Genomic DNA, 21,695 nt, shown 5'->3' on the forward strand with positions numbered 1-21,695 from the left:
GTATTAACAGGAACTGTGATTGGAATTTTAGGTAAGCAGAGCTGCACTGAAACATTAAGTTGCCTCTCAAGGAGAGGAATAGAGGAAGATTTGGCCCAGAAAGAAAGATTGAAACACTGTAACAATAGCTGAATTCCAGGCTAAGCAATAAGGATGCTAAACCTTATGCAGTAAGAACTTCCCAACTACCATGACATGGACTGTCCGCATGGGCTTCACCAATTCATTGCAACTGGGACTGCAAAGGAAGAGATCTAGGGTGTTTCACTCTCAAAATGCATACACTGTCCTTTCTTATTTAACCACCAATTTTCTATCACAATTTAGAATTGTATCCACTAAAAGAAATGTTCAAGATCTAACCCCTAGGACTTGAGAATGTGACCTTATTTGGGAATAGTCTTTGTGATGTAATCAAATTAAGATGAGGCTGTGGGGCAAGCTCTTCTAATCCAATGACTTTTTTCCTTAGAAAATGAGTGAAATTTGAATAAGCACACAGGGGAGAAAACCGTGTAACTCTGGAGGCAGAGATTGGAAGGATGCATCTACAAGTCAAAGAGTAGCAAGGATTGCCAGAAACCACTAGAAGCCAGAAAGAGGCAAGGAAGGATCCTCCCCTAGAGTCTTCAGAGAGAGTGTGGCCCTGTTGACACCTTGTGGCCTCAAGAACTGTGAGATGATAATTTTTTCTTGTTTTAAGCTACCCAGTTTGTGGTAATTTGTTACAGCAGCCCCGGAAACTAATACAGACTTGATATTGGGAGGAACAAGTGACTGTTGCTTTATATAGCAGAGCAGTCTTTGCAGATGTGATTAAATTAAGGCTTTCACAGTGAGGAGATTATCCTGGATTATCTAGGTGGGTTTAAATGTAAACACAAAGATCTTTCTAAGGGGGAAACAAGAAAGTCAAAGAAGGAAGACAATGTGAAGATGGCAGGAGAGATTGGTGCGACGTGGCCACAAGCCAAAGAACACTAGTAGCATAGAGATGCTGGAAGAGGCCAGGAACAGATTCTCTCGTGGAGCCTCTAGAAGGTACCCTGCTAATTAGCCTGATTTTATCCCCATAACACTCATTTTGGACTTCTGACTTCCAGAACTGTAAGAGGAAAATTTTATGTTGTTTTAGGCCACTACATTTTTGGTAATTTGTCATGATAGCAATAGGAAGCTGATACTCCAAGGTTACATAATCTGTGTAAGAGCTAGGACAGTACTATACCTTTCATCTCCTGTTATTATTTGTGCACTATCTTAATAAGTTAAGCTTTGCATTGATTTAGCATCATGGCGGCAGAAGAAAAGCCCCGAGTTTTGTGCACACACACACATACACATACACACAAAATCAAAAACATAATGTTCTTTTTTTATTTTTATTTTTAAACACAGTATTCTTTTTTAATACATTTCAAGCGAATCACTTAATGTGAGTGAGGCTGAGTTAGATGTTACCATAAGTATTAACAGAAGAAAAAGGGAAAGTAAAGACATTTTCCCTCTACCATAAAAGGGTCTGATGCAAGATAAACTAGCCTGTTGGTTTAACAATAGCTCATTAAAAAGGCCAGACAATCTGGGAGAAGAAGATGTACTTAGAAGCACTATCCTTTGAAGGACCATTCCCAAGAGGACAGCAAAATATTGAAAAAATTAACTGGCTCAAAAATTATATTGAGAGATCAAGACAGTTAGCCACAGCTTAGAAAAATTTCCTGAATAAATAACACTAACTAGCTAGGTTAGTAGTTCTGATGTTTCCTTGGAGTTGTCATAGCACTCTGTGTGAACCAAAGGGACTACAAACTGATGCCCCTTTGAACAGAGTGATTTGAATAGATTCTCCAGTGCACCAACTGTATTTTCAAGTATAATTCTGGTATTTGTACCTAGCAATACAGAAGAAAAAGCAGCAAGGAGAAAGTGTCAAGTATATAGGACATAAGATGATTTGCCAGCCCTAGCTAGAATTCCCAATATGAATCTTTTTCATCAGGAAAACCACATTCTGGCTCAGTCCAAGGTAACACCGGAGGCAGTGATATTGATGGCTTGTTATAAGCAGGAGGCAACAGTGAAAGTACCGAATCCTGGCTTTCTTCTTTCATCTGTTTGAAGAAAACATGGGACAATAAACTGCTTGCTGATGGCCTTTTCTCCGGATCTTGTTGCAAACACAGCTGTACCCAGCTAAAGAAGGCAGGAGAGAAGGTTTTTGAGGATGGTGTGTGTAATCGGTCACTATTTACTGTGTGAGTTCCACTGGAGACAAGCACACTTGCTCCAATCCCAGAGTCTACACCTGACCGGGAATTTTTCATTTTGGATTCTGATTGAGGGAAAATACTGATATCCAATGGGCTATAAGGGGGACCTTTCAGTTTCTGTTAACAGCATCTGAGTTCTATGCACGTCCTGGAAAGGCACCTGCCCACTGGCTAATTCACATGTTGTAATCCCAACACTGTAAATATCTGACTTCACATTATACCCATGTAAATCCTGTCTCAGTAGTTCTGGACTCAGCCATGGCTGCACTAATGTGCTGAACTGTGGGAAATCATACACAGCCCTATGCCTCTGTCCATGCTTAACCAAACTATGCAGATGGGACAGGCCAGAGAGGGTCACTAGGCCATCACCAGAAATGAGGATATGGCTGGCTTTAATTCTCCTGTGAATACAGCCATATTGGTAGAGATAGTTCAATCCTCTCACTGCTCCAAAGAGAATGTTTCTTATTAAAGTTTTACTCATTCCTTCAGGAAAATAGGTCCTCAAGAGTTGTCTTGCTGAACCATAGGCCATAAATGGAGAAATAACCCAAAGCCAGCTGCCAACAGTGAAAACTGTCCAATAAGTTGTAATATTGGGATGCCGGAAAAAGTGGGATAGAATCATGGCTTTCTGTAAAACTTTCAGGCGTTCTTTATTGCCGTTTTCCAGATTTGTAATTTTTGTAGTTACCAGCGTTCCCGTAGGAGTATGCCGTGCTAGATGGACAGAAGTCAACTTGTCAAATCCTCTTCCTATTTCTACTTGGAGCTCGTAGTGAGAAACGTTGGCGGAACATACTACTTCACTGGCTCTAGTGGATGGAGGCGACCAGGAAAGGGTTGGCTCTTCGACCAAGTATTGATGGATACTGGTTTCAGACTTGTTTTTCATGTTTGAGTGATTCAACTTGTGTTCTTGAACTAAAGCTCACAGAAAGTGACAAAAATCCAAATATTCCAAAGAAGGCTTTTGTTTTATCTTCCTTTGAAGATGCAGATATATCCTACTTAGCGGCGACGACGGCCAGCGACTCCCTACAGGCTGCCAGTGGTGCGGACCTGGGCGGGTGCCGGAGCCCGGATCACAGAGGGGCAAGGCGAGCGCTCTAGGCCCACTCCTGGCGTGGGGCGCTGGAGGGTGGCAAGGCCGCGACAGGGGCTGTGGGCTTGGAACTCTAAACATAGTATTCTTACGTAGCCAACTGGAATATCTGGTCAACCGTGAGAGCTTTGGGAACCTGCCTCTCACCTCAAGAAACCTCCAGAGCAGATTGGAACCATCCACTGGGTAAATTCTGGAAAATCTGTCTCTGCCTGAGACTGGGGTAGGAAGATGTGGGGTAGAGAGGAAGGTGGGGAAGGGATGTAGGATCTATTCCTTGGGTGCATCTTTACTTGTTAGGTCATGCATATTTTCAAACTTGGAAGAATTATACGAAAAGCAACTAGAGAAACTATGTGTTCATGGGCAGATTATTTTTCCAGGCGTCACCTTCCTTTTTTTCCCTTGGTTCCTAATGATTTAGACTCTGCCTTTGAGCCTCAGTGCTGTTAACTTTTGAATGAGTAACTTGAGGCCTTCCTGAAAGACTATAATAAAAAACCCATATTATACAATCACTAAGAACCCCCAGCTCTACGCTTGGAAATGGCAAGGTATATGCCTGTCTCTCTTCTTCCCCAAATCACCCCTCAGCCTCCCACTCCACCCTGGGAAGACAATCAGGTCCTGTGCCTTGTTTTCTAGGCAATATTTGGGTCATTTAATAAGGCTCTTTTGCATCCATCACTATAACCTGAAGCGAAAAATGTAGCTTTGGAAATGGTGTTTATAGCAGGCCCATGGGCAAAACGTTTCAACCGGGCAAAACTGAAGCAATCACCAGATTATGGAGCCGTATTTCTGTTTCTTTAAAGACAAACATTTTTGTGTGTGTGGCTCCACCCAGCCTGAGCTTCCTGACTGAGAGGTTTTGGTGGCGGTACAGACACTTTTAACTCACAGTAAAAGCAAAAGCAACAGCTCAAGCAGCCTCCTTGGAGAAAACCTGAAAATTCAACTTGTTCAAGAGAAGGTGAGCCTGGCTGAGAAGAGGGTCTGGTGCTATTGGGCTGCGAAGGGCAGTGGGGACAGGGTGTGTGGCTGGAGTGGACTCTGCCCTTAGGAGGGACAAGGCACTGTGCTAAGCAGCACTGCATAGAAGGTGCTGTGGGAGGGGTGAGTAGAAGGGGAGTGAGGAGATTTGTTTGCATGGAGCCCATGCATCTCATATGTAACAGGACACACATGGCTGCATAGTGCACCCTCCACTCACTGGCTGTTGTGATAGACACAGAGTGTTGCCTGATAACCTTCATAAGAAATTAAGGGCTCCTAAGACAGATTTGTAAAGGTGACAGGCAATTTAGAGTCCACCTGTCTAAGTCCCTCTTCTTACAGAAAAAGAATCAGAATCCCAATCCCAGAGATTTTGATGATTCTCCAAGGGGTACCCAGATCACTCATGGCGGAGGAACACTAGAATTCAGTCTGCTGACTTTTTCCAGCATTAAGCAGAGACAAGCTGTGTCCCTAACAGTGTAACATGTGGGGCTGCTGCGCCATTCAGTACAAAAAGAGTTGCCATAAAAGACCTTTATAGAAATCACTCTATGAAAGCCTAAGGACAACCCTGCAAGATTGGTTTTATTTTCCTTTTTTATAGCAGAGGGAACTGGATCTCAAGGAGCTACGAAATTTTCTAGAACCGGTGGGTCTGGCCACAGTTTAGAACTGTTCACCTCTGTTGTAAATGCTTTTGTCATTTCTCAGCCTTTCTCTTAGCTGGAGGTCCTCTGGATCTTCCAGGAACCACTTGAGAAAGTTTTAAAACTTGAGAAAGTTTTAAAGTGATATTTCTGACCATCTCTCTCACGTTTGGCTTCTCAATATGAGAGAGATGGAAAAGTCCACGAGAAATGCGGAGCCCTCCTCACGGTTCCCTTATAACAGGCTGGCTCCCAGCTCACCTTTTTGCAGAAAGCGTGGATCATCTCCTTTGCCCTCCACTGGTCTATCTCTGTGCCATGTCAATGAAAATTTAGAATCATGGCCTGAGAGTAGCCAAGAACAGGCAGTAGAGTGCACGGTTAAGAGTGAGCATGGTAGATTCAGACAGACTTTGAATCGAATGTCTTCTCTGCCCAATACCTCTTAGCACAGTGACCAGGGGCATGTTTCCCAGAATTTTTGAGCCACACCAGCTTCCTCATTTAAAAAATTAGAATAATAAAATTAGTTTCACTGTAGAGTATTTTTGAAGAATAAACGAGATATACAAAACATGTTTTATCAGGGTGTTCTGATATGCAGTCTCTGCTCGATAGTGGTTACACTATACATGGGTTAATTTTTTTATTTGTGAAAAATTTATACTTATTCAAAGGTAAAAACAATATAAGGAACTTCCATGTACCTATATTAAAATCTCACAGTTATCAATTTATGCCAGTCTTGTTCAAATATCTGCTCCTATTCTCAACTCTATCACAGATTATTTTGAAGCAAATGTCAGACATTACATCATTTTATCAGTAAATATTTGAGTATGTGTCTCTGAAAGATAAAGACCATTTAAAAACATTTCCACAATTTCATAAACAGCCTTCAAAAGGCAACTATAAATTTTAATACTACCAGTTGTATTCAGATTTCCCTGAAGATCTCATAATTTTTAAAATTGTTTGAGGTAGGATCTAAGTAAAATTCATACATTACAATTGTTTGACATCTCTTATGTTTCACTTAATGTGTAGGTTTTCACCTTCCTTGTTTCTTTGTGTTAAATTTCTTTGTTTAAGGAAGGGAAGGTCTTTTGTCCAACAGAACTGGGCAGTATTCATACTGCTGATTGCATCCTAACAATGTCATTTAACATTCGCTTCTAGCTCCAGTGTTTTGTGTGAATTTATATGAATGGGGAGGTTGGATCAGATTAAAGTTTGACTTTGTTTTTTTAGTGGGAATACTTCATAGATGCTATCCTAAACTTCTATTAGAAGGCACATATGTTTGAATGCCTCTCTTTTTGTGATGTTAGCAGATGTTAATGATTGTCTAGAATGAATTTGTTTCATTAAAAGTTACCAAAAGATGATATTCTATCATTCTTTATTTATTTATTAGATGGAATAGTCATACACAAAGGAACTTTCATTCAGTGATTCTTTCATTTTTGTGAGATATAGTTAAAAGATGAGATGTATGAAAGACAAAATAAATGCTTCTTTCCCTTTAGTTGTCAATGTTCAGAATGATGAGTCACTTTCTTAGCATACTCCAAAGGGAGCAATTAACTTCTTTCAGGAAGATGGTGTTGTTATCAACTACTGGATTTCAATATATTTGGTATATTTTAATCCATTGGAATAATCTTTATTAATGATGCTCAAATTATTCCATCTTTGTCCAGTTGGAACCTCTTTAAGGTAGCTTCCAAGCCCTTCTGATAAAACTAAGTAATTTTTTATAGCATCCCTACTTTCTAGTATGAAAGATGTTGTAGGCTAAACTTGTATGTTTACTGGCCCAGACCTGGAATCAGTACTTTTTCCTAGTAGTCCTAATTTCTTTTGTGGGAAATACCATTTGAAGATCACAATCTGGGCATTAAGTGCACTCACTGCTACTTGGCTGACCATGGTTTATGCCTTTTAGATGGACTTCAAAACAGTACACACACACACACATACACACACACACACAGTGAAATTATTAATACTACATTTTCAAGCCTTTCAGGACAAATCTTTGTGTGGTTCATCCTTGACACAAGATACAGTTAGGTTTATTTGTTCCGTTTCTTTTAACTTTTACTGGTGTTTTAAAATATAATTTTTATTGTATAATTATGTAAACTATTTAAATGTTCTCAAGATCAAATTTGCAAAAACAAAGGATATTCAAAGAAGTCTAATGACCATTTTCTGTTCCTGTCCCTTGTACCTTGTTTCTCTCATCTTCATATAAATAATTCTTTTGTTTAGTTTTCAAATGGTTCTGCCATTGCTTTTTCACATGCACATAAAAATTATTTATATATATAAAACTAATATTCCTTCTTCTTATATAAATGATAGTAAACTATACATTATTTTCTTCACTTGGCTTTTTTTCACTTAGCAGTATATCACAGAGATCTCTTCATACTGGTATATAGATATATTTCTCATTCCTTTTTGCAGTTGGATTGTACTTTTCTGTATGAATATTCCTTAGTTTATTCAACTGGTCCCCACTGATGGGCATCATTCCTTTCTGTATTTTTGTCAGTGCAGCTCTGGGATAAATCCTAAAATCGGGATTGATAATCAAAGAGTAAATGCATGTGTAATTTTTCAAGGTATTGCCACCTTCTCCTCTATAGGTGTTAGGTTGTTTTCCCCTTCACACTAGTCATGCAAGAAATTATCTGTTTTCCCCATACCTTTACCACCAGATTATGCTGGGAAATGGATTTTTGCCATACCTATAGTAGAGAAATAGTGATCTCTGAGAATTTTTTATTTTTTCTATGTTTTTAATTATTTTTCTCTATTGTGAATGAACTTGGATATCTTTTTATGTATTCAAGGATAATTTATATATTTTTTTCTTTGGCCGTGGGTTCATATCTTGCCCGATTTTCTATCAAGTCATTGGTCTTTTGTTTCTTTACTTTTAGCTATTCTTCATACAGTAGGAAAAGTAGCCCTCTTTGAGATAAATCGGAAAAAATGTTTTCCTAGTTTGATATTTGTGTTTTAATTTGCCTATGGTGTTGTATGCCTTACATAATTTTTTGGATTTTTGTGTAATCAAACTTATCAGTCTTTTCCTTATACTATTTTAAATCTTAGTTATTAACATCCTCCCCACTCCCAGGTTACAAAAAATTTACCCGTGTTTCTCTTATTATTTATATGGGATAGTTTTTGCATTCAAATTTCTGATCTATTTGGAATTTGTATGATATGAGGAATTGGAGGCAATTTTATCTTTAAAATTGCATCCAATTATATGGTGGTATAGTTATTTCAGTGTTGCTAATAAAAGTGTCCATCATCTTTCCCATTGGTATGAGGTGTTGCTTCACAGAATGTAAGTTAATGTAATTGAATGGAATATAAATGAACATAAAATGAGCAATGGCCTATTTGTGAATTCTCTGTTTCTGTTTCATGGCCTGTCTCTATTCACTCACCAATATCACACTGCTTTAATTATAGAGATTATAATATTTAATTGTCTGGTAGAGCTAGTCTTCCCCTGTTCTTCTTTTCCTTGATTGTCTAGGCTAACTTGCATTTTCCTTCATCTGAATGAACTTTATAATCAACTATTTTAGTTCCAGAAAAAAAGATGACAAAATTGAAAAAATTATATTTGTATAAAATCATGTTAAAGAAATAGATATTTTTTCTGTTCTACAAACTACCGTAAACATGAATCAGTGTTAAATTTGGCCAAATATCTTTCCTGCATCTAGCTAATTTTCTTCTTAACCTATTAACGGGATGTGTTGTAACAATCAACATTCTCATATTGACCCACCATAGTATTTCTGAAATAAATCACACTTAATCACAGTCTATTATTTATTAGTGTCTAATAATTTATTTAGGATTTGTATATTAGTATTCACAAATGAGACACATCTTTAGTTTTCTTTATTGATGAAATATTTGTCAGCCTTTGGAATCAATATACTTGCTTCATAGAAAAAAAAAGTAACTTTTTCCTTCTTTTTATATGGCCAGGAGCAGTTTTAGGTAGCTTTGAGATCATCAGATCTTAAAAGGTTTAATAGAATTCACCTGTGAAACCATCTATACCTGGTACTACTTTGTGGGGAAACTCTTTAACTGCTTTCTCTATTATTTCTTCCATATTAATCGGACTATTTCATTTCTGTCTTTACTGTGATTAATATGGATAATAGGATATTACAAATTTTCAGGAAGAAAGAGAAAGCAGAAAAGAAGGTTGGGAATGGATCTCACTTACTAAAACTGGCTTTTTTTCCCCTATCTTCCCCTCCTTAAGGTCTTGTACGTGCCTAAGTTCTAGAGCCTCCTGACGTGAGCATGGCTGAGAGTGAGGACCGCTCCCTGAGGATCGTTCTGGTAGGGAAAACTGGAAGTGGGAAAAGTGCAACAGCGAACACCATCCTTGGAGAGGAAATCTTTGATTCTAGAATTGCTGCCCAAGCTGTTACCAAGAACTGTCAAAAAGCATCCCGGGAATGGCAGGGGAGAGACCTTCTTGTTGTAGACACTCCAGGGCTCTTTGACACCAAGGAGAGCCTGGACACCACCTGCAAGGAAATCAGCCGCTGCATCATCTCCTCCTGCCCAGGGCCCCATGCTATTGTCCTAGTTCTGCTGCTGGGCCGCTACACAGAGGAGGAGCAGAAAACCGTTGCATTGATCAAGGCTGTCTTTGGGAAGTCAGCCATGAAGCACATGGTCATCTTGTTCACTCGCAAAGAAGAGTTGGAGGGCCAGAGCTTCCATGACTTCATAGCAGATGCGGATGTGGGCCTAAAAAGCATCGTCAAGGAGTGCGGGAACCGCTGCTGTGCCTTTAGCAACAGCAAGAAAACCAGTAAGGCAGAGAAGGAAAGTCAAGTGCAGGAGTTGGTGGAGCTGATAGAGAAAATGGTGCAGTGCAACGAAGGGGCTTACTTTTCTGATGACATATACAAGGACACAGAGGAAAGGCTGAAACAACGGGAAGAGGTTTTGAGGAAAATCTACACTGACCAATTAAATGAAGAAATTAAACTAGTAGAAGAGGATAAGCATAAATCAGAGGAAGAAAAGGAGAAAGAAATTAAATTACTAAAATTAAAATATGATGAAAAAATAAAAAATATAAGGGAAGAAGCTGAGAGAAATATATTTAAAGATGTTTTTAATAGGATTTGGAAGATGCTTTCAGAAATATGGCATAGGTTTTTGTCGAAATGTAAGTTTTATTCTTCCTAATTTACTGTGATTTGTTAATGGATGAATTGTATTTTGCAAAGATAGTTAGAGAAATACCTCCTTCCCCTTAGCTTTATTAAGGTATCATTGATAAATAAAAATAAAATATGTTTAATGTATATAATGTGATTTTTAAATATATATATATATATACACACATTGTGAAATAATGAAATAAAGGTAATTAACACATCTAGCACCTCTCGGTTACTATTTTCTTTGGTGTGGTGAGAACATTTAAGGTCTACTCTCTTAGCAAATTGCAAAAATGCAATACAGTATTATTAAGTATAGTCATCATGCTGTATGTTAGATCTCCAGAGGAGGTTATTCATCCTGCATAACTAAAGTTTTGTACCCTTTGACCAACATTTCCCCATTTCCCCCAACACCCAGTCCCTGGCAATCAACATTCTATTCTTTGCTTCTGTGCATTCTACTTTATCAAATTCCACATGTAAGTGAGATCAAGCAGTGCCTGTCTTTCTGTGCTTAGCTTACTTTACTTAGCATACTGTCCTCTGGGTTCATCGATATTGTTGCAAACGACAAGATTTACTTCTTTTTCAAGGTTGAATAATGTTCCTTTATTAATGGAATGTTAATAATGCACTGCATTTTCTTTATTCATTCATCTGTCCATGGACGCACTTGGGTTATTTCCATATCTTGGCTATTGTGAATAATGTTGCAGTGAGCCTGGGAGTGCAGATATTTCTATAATAATGCTCATTGCAGCATTATTCACAATGGATAAAAATATATTTCAGTGGAATATATATGTAGTCGTTTATAAGCCACCTAGTTTATGGTATTTTTATAGCAGCCCAAATGGACTAATACCTAAAGGAAATGAAATATATCTTTATCCACTGGAATATATATATATATATATTCAGTGGAATGTGTATATTCAGGGGTCTCTCTTCAGCCTCTTTTATGAGGGCATTAATTTCATTTCTGGAGCTTCTGCCCCCATGACCTAATCACTTCCCTAGGGCCTACCTCCTTATACCATCACATTGGGGGTGAGGATTTCAACATATGAATTTTGGGGGGACATAATCATTTAGACCATAACATTCTGTTCCTGGCTCCCCAAAATGTATGCCCTTATCACATGCAAAATACATTACTTTCATCCCAGTAGCCTCAAAAATCTTGTTCCAACATCAATTTTAAAATGTAACTCCAAAGTCTCATCTAATTATCATCTAAATCAGATATGGGTGAGACTTAAGGTACAATTCATTCTGAGGCAAATTGCTTACCAGTTGTGAATCAGTGAAATCAAGTATATTATGAGCGTCAAACATACAATGGTGGGACAAGAATCAAATAGATGCAATAAAAAATGATAAAGGGGATATCACCACCGATCCCACAGAAATACAAACTACCATCAGAGAATACTATAAACACCTCTATGCAAATAAACTGGAAAATCTAGAAGAAATGGATAAATTCCTCGACACACACACCCTCCCAAGATCAAGATTTCTTTTTTTTTTTTTTTTTTTTTTTTTGAGACGGAGTCTTGCTCTTTTGCCCAGGTCAGAGTGCAGTGGCGCGATCTCGGCTCACTGCAAGCTCTGCCTCCCGGGTTCACGCCATTCTCCTGCCTCAGCCTCCCGAGTAGCTGGGACTACAGGCGCCCGCCACTGCGCCCTGCTAATTTTTTGTATTTTTAGTAGAGACGGGGTTTCACCGTGTTGGCCAGGATGGTCTGGATCTCCTGACCTCGTAATCCGCCCACCTCGGCCTCCCAAAGTGCCGGGATTACAGGCGTGAGCCACTGTGCCTGGCAAGATTTCTTACCCATGTATGATTTTTATAATACTATGTATCGGGGAACCTGCCCCGATAATCACGTAGGTTCTTTTCTATATTTCCTAAGCGTCGGCTGGCTTGAGAAATAAAGGGACAGAGTACAAAAGAGAGAAATTTTAAAGCTGGACATCCGGGGGAGACATCACACGTTGGTAGGATCCGTGATTCCCCACAAGCCACAAAAACCAGCAAGTTTTTATTAGGGATTTTCAAAAGGGGAGGGAGTGTGCAAATAGGTGGGGGTGACAGACATCAAGTACTTAACAGAGTAATAGAATATCACAAGGCAAGCGGAGGCAGGGTGAGATCACAGGACCACAGGACTGAGGCAAAATTAAAATTGCTAATGAAGTTTTGGGTTCCATTGTCATTGATAACATCTTATCAGGAGACAGGGTTTTGAGATCAACTGGTCTGACTAAAATTTATTAGGCGGGAATTTCCTCTTCCTAGTAAGCCTGGCAGCGCTATGGGAGACTGGAGTTTATTTCATCTCTGCAGCCTTGACCATAAGAGACGACCACGCCCCCTGGGGAGCCAGTTCAGAGACCCACTCCCAGGTGCGCATTCTCTTTCTCAGGGATGTTCCATGCTGAGGAAAAGAATTCAGTGATATTTCTCCCATTTGCTTTTGAAAGAAGAGAAATATGGCTCTGTTCCACCTGGCTCACCGGCGGTCAGAGTTTAAGGTTATCTCTCTTATTCCCTGAACAATTGCTGTTATCCTGTTCTTTTTTCAAGGTGCTCAGATTTCATATTGCTCAAACACTCCTGCTGTACAATTTGTGTAGTTAATGCAATTATTACAGGGTCCTGAGGCAACATACATCCTCCTCGGCTGACAGGATTAAGAGATTGCAGTAAAGACAGGCATAGGAAATCACAAGGGTATTGATTGGGGTAGTGATAAGTGTCCATGAAATCTTCACAACTTACATTTAGAGATGGCAGTAAAGACAGGCATAAGAAATTATAAAAGTATTAATTTGGGGAAGTAATAAGTGTCCATAAAATCTTCACAATCCATGTTCTTCAGCCATGGCTTCAGCCGGTCCCTCCGTTTGGGGTCCCTGACTTCCCGCAACAACTATGCATTGATCATTTGGAAATACTGACTCAGTTATGCAGATAATCAAATAATGACAGATTTCATTATATACTTACAGCAGCTGATACAAGCTGTCTAAAATTTTTGCTTAAAATCTAGGAACTTTATCATTGACCATAAATACTACCACTATTTTCCCTAAAGCAAAGGCTCACTGTTTTCAAGAAAATGTCTGAAAGGGAAAAATAGAAATGAAGAAAGGAGTGACAGTTACCAAGCAAGTCCAAAACCCTATGGCTCAAGAATAATCTTTTTTGGCTTGATGCTCTCAAGGCCCACTGATCTGGAGGTCCGGCCTTTTGGACCCTTTTTGATGGTTGTCCAGCCTCCAAAGTTTTGCCTGTCCCCACAGCTTTGCTGAGCTCAGCACACACCACACCAGAGCCTGCTAGAGCTGCACCTAGGGGAGCCGAGCAGCATGGCAACAGAGTGTGGGGAGCAGAGTCCACAATGTGAGGTAATGCTGAGCAGCAGTGGCCCCTCCTTTGAAATTGTTCTGATCCCCTGGGCCCTAGCATTCTGTGATGGCAGTCAGCCCTACTGATTTCTGAAATGCCTTTGGGGTCATTTTTCCATTGTCCTGGACAATAGGTCCTTGCTTCTGTTTAGATGGCTCACTGCCTTGATCAATAGCACATGACTTCCATTGAGACGGCTGATCCATACTAATTTTCTTTATCAAATGATCAATAGGCCACATCATTTTCTCTTCTGAAAAAGCTTTCTTATCTTTTTCCAATATGGATAGACTAAGAATTTTCTAAATGTTTAAGTTCTACTTCCCTTTAATTAACAAATCCATTTTTATTTCTCTCTTCTCACATTTTACTATAGGCAGTGAAGAGAAGCCACACTGTACCTTCAACACTTTGCTTATAAATTTCCTCTTCCAGATATCCAATTCATTACTCACAAATTCTACCTTCCACAAAACACTGGAACAAGAACACAACACAGCCAAGTTCTTTGCCACTTTATAATAAGGATTTCTGTTCTTTCATTGTCCAACAACACATTCTTCATTTCTCACTGGTGAGACCTCATCAGAATGGTCTTTACTAGCCATATTTCTACCAATAACCTAAGTTATTGGTATATCTACTTAGGTATTCACTAAGAAAATTGAGGATTTCTGAACTTCAGCAGAATCATCTTTAATGGTCCATTCACAGCAATGCAGGATTTTTCTAGCACAAAGCTCTCACTTCCAGCCTATACTTATTACCCAGTTCCAAAACTGCTTGCACATGTTAGGTATTTACTACAGCAGCACCTTCAGTTCTTGATACCAATATTCTTTCTTAGTTTGGAGTGCTATTACAAAATTCTATAAGTTGCATGGCCTATAAGCAACAGAAATTTATTTCCTACAGTTCTGGAGGCTGAGAAGTCCAAAGCACTGGCAGATTCAGCGTCTAGTAAAGGCCCATTTCCTCATAGACATCTATCTTTTCACTATAACCTCACATGGTGAAAGGGACAAGGGTCTTCTCTTGAGCCTCTTTTATTTTTGTTTTTGTTTTTGTTATTTGTTATCTGTTTTTTGTTATTTTGTTTTTTGTTATTTGTATTTGTTTTGTTTTGTTATTTTATTTTTTTAAACTTCCTATTGAGCCTCTTATATAAGGGCATTAATCACATTTATGAGGTCACTACCCCCATGAGCTAGTTACATTCCAAGTGCCCCATCTCCTGTTATCATCACACTAAGCATGAAAATTTATCATCACATTAAACATATCAATTTTGTGGGAACATAAACAATCAGAATATAACAGATATATACCCAGAAGCTTGCTGGATTATATGGTAGTTCTTATTTTTAATTTTTGGGGGAGCTTCCATCCTGTTTTCCATAATGGCTGTACCAATTTACATTCCCACCAACAGTGTACAAGTGTTACTTTTTCTCCACATTCTTGCCAACACTTGATATCTTTTGTCTTTTTGGTAATATACAGGTATGAGATAATATCTCATTGTGGTTTTGATTTGCCTTTCATTGATGATTACTGATGTTGGGCATTTTTTTCATATTCTTGTCATAAAGATATTTGTATGTCTTATTTTGAGAAATGTCTGTTCAGGTCCTTTGCCTATTTTTTAATTGGGTTATTTGTTTAATTGCTGTTGAATTGTTTAAGTTCCTTGTGTATTTTGGATATTAACCCCTTGTGAGATGTATGATTTACAAATATTTTCTCCTATTCCATAGGTTGTCTCTTCACACTGTTGATTGTATCTTTTGCTATGCAGGATATGTTTTGTTTGAGATAACCCCGTTTGTCTATTTTTGCTTTTGTGGCCTATGCTTTTGGTGTCATAAAAAATCATCACCCAGATCAAGATTTTCCCCATGTTTCTTCTAGCAGTTTACAGTTTTAGGCCTACCATGTAACTATTTAATCCATTTCGAGTTGATTTTTTTAAGATAATGGCCCAATTTCATTCTTCTGCATGTGGATATCCAGTTTTCCCAACACCATTATTGAAGAAACTATCCTTTTGTCTTTGTACATTCTATGTTCAACTGACCATAAATGTGTAGGCTTATTTCTGGGTTTATTATTCTGTTCATTGGTCTTTATGTCCGTTTTTATGCTAGTAGCATAATTTTTGATTACTATAGCTTTGTTTTAATTATAATAGTATGTTTTGATTGCTATAGCTTTGTTTTGATTACCATATTTTGAAATTAAGTAGTGCGAGGGCCCCAGCTTTGTTCTTTTAGTTGAAGATTGCTTTGGCTACTTAGGGTCTTTTGTGGTTCCATATAGATTTTAGATTCTTTTTCACTCTTGTGAAAAATGGAATTAGAATTTTGACAGAATTTCATCGACTATATAGATTGCTTTGGGTAGTAAAGACATTTAACAATATTACTTTAATCCATAAACATTACACACACAAACACACACACACACACATATAGTGTATATATATATATATATATATATATATATATTTGTGTTTATTTGTGTCATCTTCAATTTCTTTTATCAACATTTTATAGTTTTCAGCATATAGGTCTTTCACCTCCTTGGTTAAATTTATTCCTGAGTATTTTGGGGGTAGCTAATGTAAATGGGATTGTTTCTTTAATTTCTTTTTTGTAGAGTGAATTGTTAGTAGATAGAAACACAACTGATTTCTGTATTTTTTTTTCAAGTGGAGTCTTTGGTTTTCTATGTATAACATCATGTCATCTGTAAACAGAGGTTATTTTATGTCTTTCTTTCCAATTTGGTTATCGTTTATCTCTATTTCTTGCCTAATTGCCCTGGCTAGAACTTCAAGCACCATGGTAAAAGTGGCAAGACTGAGCATTCTTGTCTTGTTCCTGATCATACAGGAAATGCTTTCAGCTTTTCAACATTGAGTATGGTGTTACCTGTGGGCTTGTCACATATGGCCTTTATTGTGTTGAGGTACATTCTTTCTTTTTTTTTTCAACTTTTATTTTAGGTTCAGGGATACATACAAAAGTTTGTTATATAGGTAAACTAGCATTTCTAGGTAAATTAAACTAGATTACTTCATCACCCAGGTATTAAGCCCACTACCCAATAGTGATCTTTTCTGCACCTCTCCCTACTCCCACTATCCACCCTAAAGTAGAACCCAGTGTCTGCTGTTTCCTTCTTTGCATTCATAAGTTCGTATCATTTAGCTTCCCCTTATAAGTGAGAACATGCGGTTTTTGGTTTTCTGTTCCTGCATTAGTTTGCTAAGGATTAACAACCTCCAGCTCCATCCATGTTCCCGGAAAAGACAAAACCTTATTCTTTTTGTGGCTGCATAGTATTCCATGTTGTATATGTATCAGATTTTCTTTATCAAATCTGTCATTGATGGGCATTTACGTTGATTCCATGTCTTTGCTATTGTAAATAGAGCTGCAGTGAACATTCATGTGCATGTGTCTTTATGGTAGAATGATTTATATGCCTCTGGGCATATAAGTAATGAGATTGCTGGGTTGAATGGTAGTTCTGCTTTTAGCTCTATGAGAAATTGCCATACTGCTTTCCACAATGATTGAACAAATTTACACTCCCACCAACAGTGTATAAGCATTCCCTTTTCTCAGCAACCTCACCAGCATGTTATTTTTCTGACTTTTTAATAGTAGCCATCTTGACCAGTGTGAGATAATATCTTATTGTGGTTTTGATTTGCATTTCTCTAATGATCAGTGATGTTGAGCTTTTTTTCATATGCTTGTTGGCTGCATATATGTCTTCTTTTGAAAAGTGTCTGTTCATGTCCTTTACCCACTTTTTAATGGGGTAGTTTATTTTTCTTGTACATTTGTTTAAGTTCTTTATACATGCTGGATATTAAACCTTTGTCAGATGCATAGTTTGCAAAAATGTCTCTGATTCTGTAGGTTGTCTGTGACTCTGTCGATATCTCTTTTGCTGTGCAGAAACTCTTATTTAGATAACTGTTTGTCAATTTTGCTTTTGTTGCGATAGCTTTTGGTGTCTTGGCCATGAAATCTTTGCCCAGTCCTATGTCGAGAATGGTATTGCCTAGTTGTCTTCCAGGGTGTTCATACTTTTGGGTTTTCCATTTAAGTCTTTAATCCATCTTGAGTTGATTTTTGTATATTGTGTAAGCAAGAGGTCCAGTTTCAACAGTTTCAATCTTCTGCACATGGCTAACCAGTTATCCCAGCACCATTTGTTAAATAGGGAGTGTTTTCTCCATTTCTTGTTTTTGTCATCTTTGTTGAAGATCAGATGGTTGTAGATGTGTGACCTTATTTCTGGGCTCTCTAATCTGTTCCATTTATCTATGTACCTGTTTTTGTACCAGTACTATGCTGTTTTGGAGATTGTACCTCTGTAGTATAGTTTGAAGTGAGTAATGTGATGCCTCCAGCTTTGTTCTTTTTGCTTAGGATTGCTTTTGCTATTCGGGCTCCTTTATGGCTGTACATCAATTTTAAAATAGCTTTATTTCTAGTTCTGTGGAGAATGTTGTTGGTAGTCTGATAGCAATAGCATTTAATCTGTAAATTGCTTTGGGCAGTATGGCCATTTAAACAATATTAATTCTTCATGAGCATGGAATGTTTTTTCATTTGTTTGTGTCTTTTCTGATATATTTGAGCAGTGTTTTGTAATTCTCGTTGTAGAGATCTTTTATCTCCCTGGTTAGCTGTATTCCTAGGTATTTTATTCTTTTAGTGGCAATTGTGAATGGGATTACCTTTCTGACTTGACTCTCTGTTTGGATCTTGTTGGTGTATAGGAATGCTAGTGACTTTTGTACATTGATTTTTGTATGCTGCAGCTTTGCTGAAGTTGTTTATCAGCTCAAAGAGATTTTGGCCCAAGACTATGGGGTTTTCTAGACATAGAATCATGTTGTCTGCAAACAGACATAGTTTGACTTCCTCTCTTCCTATTTAAATGTTCTTTATTTCTTTCTCTTGTCTTATTGCTCTGGCCAGGACTTCATCCTATGTTGAATAGAAGTGGCAAGAGAGGGCGTTCTTGTCTTGTGCTTGTTTTTAAGAGGAATGTTTCCAACTTTTGCCAATTCAGCAATGTTAACTGTGGGTTTGTCATAGACGGCTCTTATTATTTTGATGTGTGTTCCTTTAATACCTAGTTGACTGAAAGTTTTTAACATGAAGGAATGTTGCATTTTGTCAAAAGCATTTTCTGTGTCTATTAATCATGTGGTTTTTGTCTTTAGTTCAGTTTTTGTGATAAATCACATTTATTGATTTGTGTATGTTGAACCAACCTTGCGTCCCAGGAATAAAGCTGAATTGACCATGGTGGATTAGCTTTTTGATGTCCTGCTGGATTCAGCTTACAGGTATTTTGTTGAGGATTTTTGCATCAAAGTTCATAAAGTATATTGGCCTGAAGTTTTCCTTTTTTGTTGTGTCTCTGGCAGGTTTTGGTATCAAGATGATGCTGACCTCATACAATGAGTTGGGGAGGTGTCCCTCCTCCTTAATTTTTTGGAATAGTTTCTGTAGGAGTGGTACCAGCTATTCTTTGTACATCTGGTAGAATTTGGCTATGAATCCATCATGTACTGGGCTTTTTTTTTTTTTTTTTTTGGTTGGTAGGCTATTTATTACTGATTCAACTTCAAAGCTCATTATTGGTCTGTTCAGGGAATCAACTTCTTCCTGGCTCAGTCTTGGGCTGGTGTATGTGTCCAAGAGTTTATCCATCTCTTCTAGGCTTTCTAGTTTGTGTGCACAGAGGTGTTTATCGTAGTCTCTGATGGTTGTTTGAATTTCTGTGGAATCAGTAGTAACATTCCCTTCATCATTTCTGATTGTGTTTATTTGGGTCTTCTCCATTTTTTTCCTTATTAGTGTAACTAGAGGCTTGTCTATCTTATTACTTTTTTCAAAAAGCCAACTCCTAGATCTGTTTGTCTTTTGAATTTTGTGTGTGTGTGTGTGTGTGTGTGTGTGTGTGTGTGTCTCGATTTCTTTCACTTCAGCTCTGATTTTGGTTATTTATTGTATTCTGCTAGCTTTGGGGTTGATTTCTTCTTGCTTCTCTAGTTCTTTCAGTTGTGATGTTAGGTTTTTAATTTGAGATCTAACTTTTTTTTTTTTGAGACAGAGTCTCACTCCGTCACCTAGGCTGGAGTGCAGCAGCATGATATTGGCTCACTGCAACCTCCGGCTCCTGGGTTCTAGTGATTCTCCTGCCTAAACTTTCTGAGCAGCTGGGACTACAGGTGTGTGCCACCATGCCTGGCTAATTTTTGTATTTTTAGTAGAGACAGTGTTTCACCGTGTTAGCCAGGATGGTCTTGATCTCCTGACCTTGTAATCTGCCCATCTTGGCCTCCCAAAGTGCTGAAATTACAGGCATGAGGCACAGTGCCCAGCTGAGATCTAACTTTTTAATGTGGGCATTTAGTGCTATAAATTTCCCCCTTAACATTGCCTTAGCTGTGCCCCAGAGATTCTGGTATTTTGTATCTTTGTTCCCATTATTTTCAAAAAACTTGTTGATTTCTGCCTTAATTTCATTATTTACCCAAAAGTCATCCAAGAGCATGTTGTTTAACTGCATGGATTTAAGCAATTTTCTTGGTCTTGACATCTATTCCTATTGTGCTGTGGTCCATGAGTGTGTTTGGTATGATTTAAGCTCCTTTGCATTTGTTGATTGTTTTATGTCCAATTACGTGGTTCATTTTAGAGTATGCGCCATGTGGTGATGAGAAGAGTGTATATATATTCTGTCGTCTTTGGGTGGAGACTTCTGTAAATGTCTATTAGATCCATTTGGTCCAATGTTGAGTTGAGGTCCTGAATATCTTTGTTAATTTTCTGCCTTGATGATCTGTCTAATACTGTTAGTGGAGTGTTGAATTCTCCTACTATTATTGTGTGAGAGTCTATATCTCTTTGTAGGTCTCTAAGAATTTTCTTTATGAATCTGGGTCCTCCTGTGCTGGGTGCATATATATTTCAGATAGTTAGGTATTCTTATTGAATTGAACCCTTTACCTTTATGTAATTCCCTTCTTTGTGTTTTTTGATCTTTGTTGGTTTGAAATCTGTTTTGTCTTAAAGCAAAAAAAAAAAAAAATACATATTTGGTTAGTTTGTACCTTGCTAAACTAATTGATGCTAGAGAGGCAAAATAAAAAAAACAAACCTGGACTCAAATAAAAATTTAGTTATTATAATTTAAATGAGATTATTTACATATGCAATTCTACAAAATATTTTTTCTTAGGTAGACCAGGCTTAACATTACTTAATAAAAACTCAGGTATAAAAGATTCCATATTTTTTCCTTATTTTTCATCTTCTTTTCTTCTAAATTGAGGTCAATAACATTTTCTTCTCACTAAAAAAAAAGAAATCTGTTTTGCCTGAAAATAGGATTGCAGCTCCTGCTTTTTTCTCTTTTCAATTTGCTTGGTAGATTTCCCTCTATCCCTTTATTTTGAGCCTATGAGTGTCATTACATGTGAGATGGGTCTCTTGAATCAGCATATCATTGGGTCTTGCTTCTTTATCCAGCTTGTCACTCTATGCCTTTTAAGTGGGGGCATTTAGTCCATTTACATTAAGGTTAGTATTGATATATGTGTATTTAATCCTGTCATTGTGCTGTTAGCTGGTTATTATGTTCGCTTGTTTTTATGGTTGCTTTATAGTGGTCTGTGTGTTTAAGTGTGTTTTTGTATTACCTGGTAGCAGTCTTTCTTTTCTATATTTAGTGCTCATCTCAAGATCTCTTGTAAGGCAGGAATGGTGGTAATGAGATCCCTCAACATTTGCTTATCTGAAAAGGATCTTATTTCTCCTTCACTTAGGAAGCTTAGTTTGGCTGGATATGCAATTCTTGGTTGAAGATTTTGTCTTTAAGGGTGTTGAATATTGGCACCAAATCTCTTCTGGCTTGGAGGGTTTCAGCTGAGAGACCCACTGTTAGCCTGAAGGGTTTCCCTTTGTAGGTGGC

At 37.9% G+C, this 21,695-nt stretch overlaps 1 protein-coding gene and 1 pseudogene across 1 annotated transcript, besides 2 other annotated features; one reads left to right on the plus strand and one right to left on the minus strand.

Moving 5' to 3' along the window:
• STRADBP1 (STE20-related kinase adaptor beta pseudogene 1) lies at nucleotides 1,388-3,459 on the minus strand (annotated as a pseudogene).
• Nucleotides 4,006-4,165: an enhancer, noted in NCBI's record as "active region_26833". NCBI's record gives its function as "activates an Ori minimal core promoter by ATAC-STARR-seq in GM12878 lymphoblastoid cells {active_cell/tissue: GM12878}" and the evidence as "EXISTENCE:reporter gene assay evidence [ECO:0000049][PMID:35858748]".
• Nucleotides 4,176-4,435: an enhancer, noted in NCBI's record as "active region_26834". NCBI's record gives its function as "activates an Ori minimal core promoter by ATAC-STARR-seq in GM12878 lymphoblastoid cells {active_cell/tissue: GM12878}" and the evidence as "EXISTENCE:reporter gene assay evidence [ECO:0000049][PMID:35858748]".
• GIMAP7 (GTPase, IMAP family member 7) lies at nucleotides 4,284-10,485 on the plus strand. Its single transcript, NM_153236.4, has 2 exons — nucleotides 4,284-4,357; nucleotides 9,346-10,485. The coding sequence occupies exon 2, from the start codon at nucleotides 9,387-9,389 to the stop codon at nucleotides 10,287-10,289; it is 903 nt and encodes a 300-aa protein (NP_694968.1). The 5' UTR covers nucleotides 4,284-4,357; nucleotides 9,346-9,386; the 3' UTR covers nucleotides 10,290-10,485.
• The last annotated feature ends 11,210 nt before the right edge of the window (nucleotides 10,486-21,695 follow it).

This window comes from Homo sapiens, chromosome 7 (genome assembly GCF_000001405.40).
Source record: "Homo sapiens chromosome 7, GRCh38.p14 Primary Assembly".
NCBI lineage: Eukaryota > Metazoa > Chordata > Mammalia > Primates > Hominidae > Homo > Homo sapiens.

What these genes read in the sequence shown, in the direction of transcription:
- GIMAP7 (NM_153236.4), top strand. Translation starts at nt 9,387, where the DNA reads ATGGCTGAGAGTGAGGACCGCTCCCTGAGGATCGTTCTGGTAGGGAAA.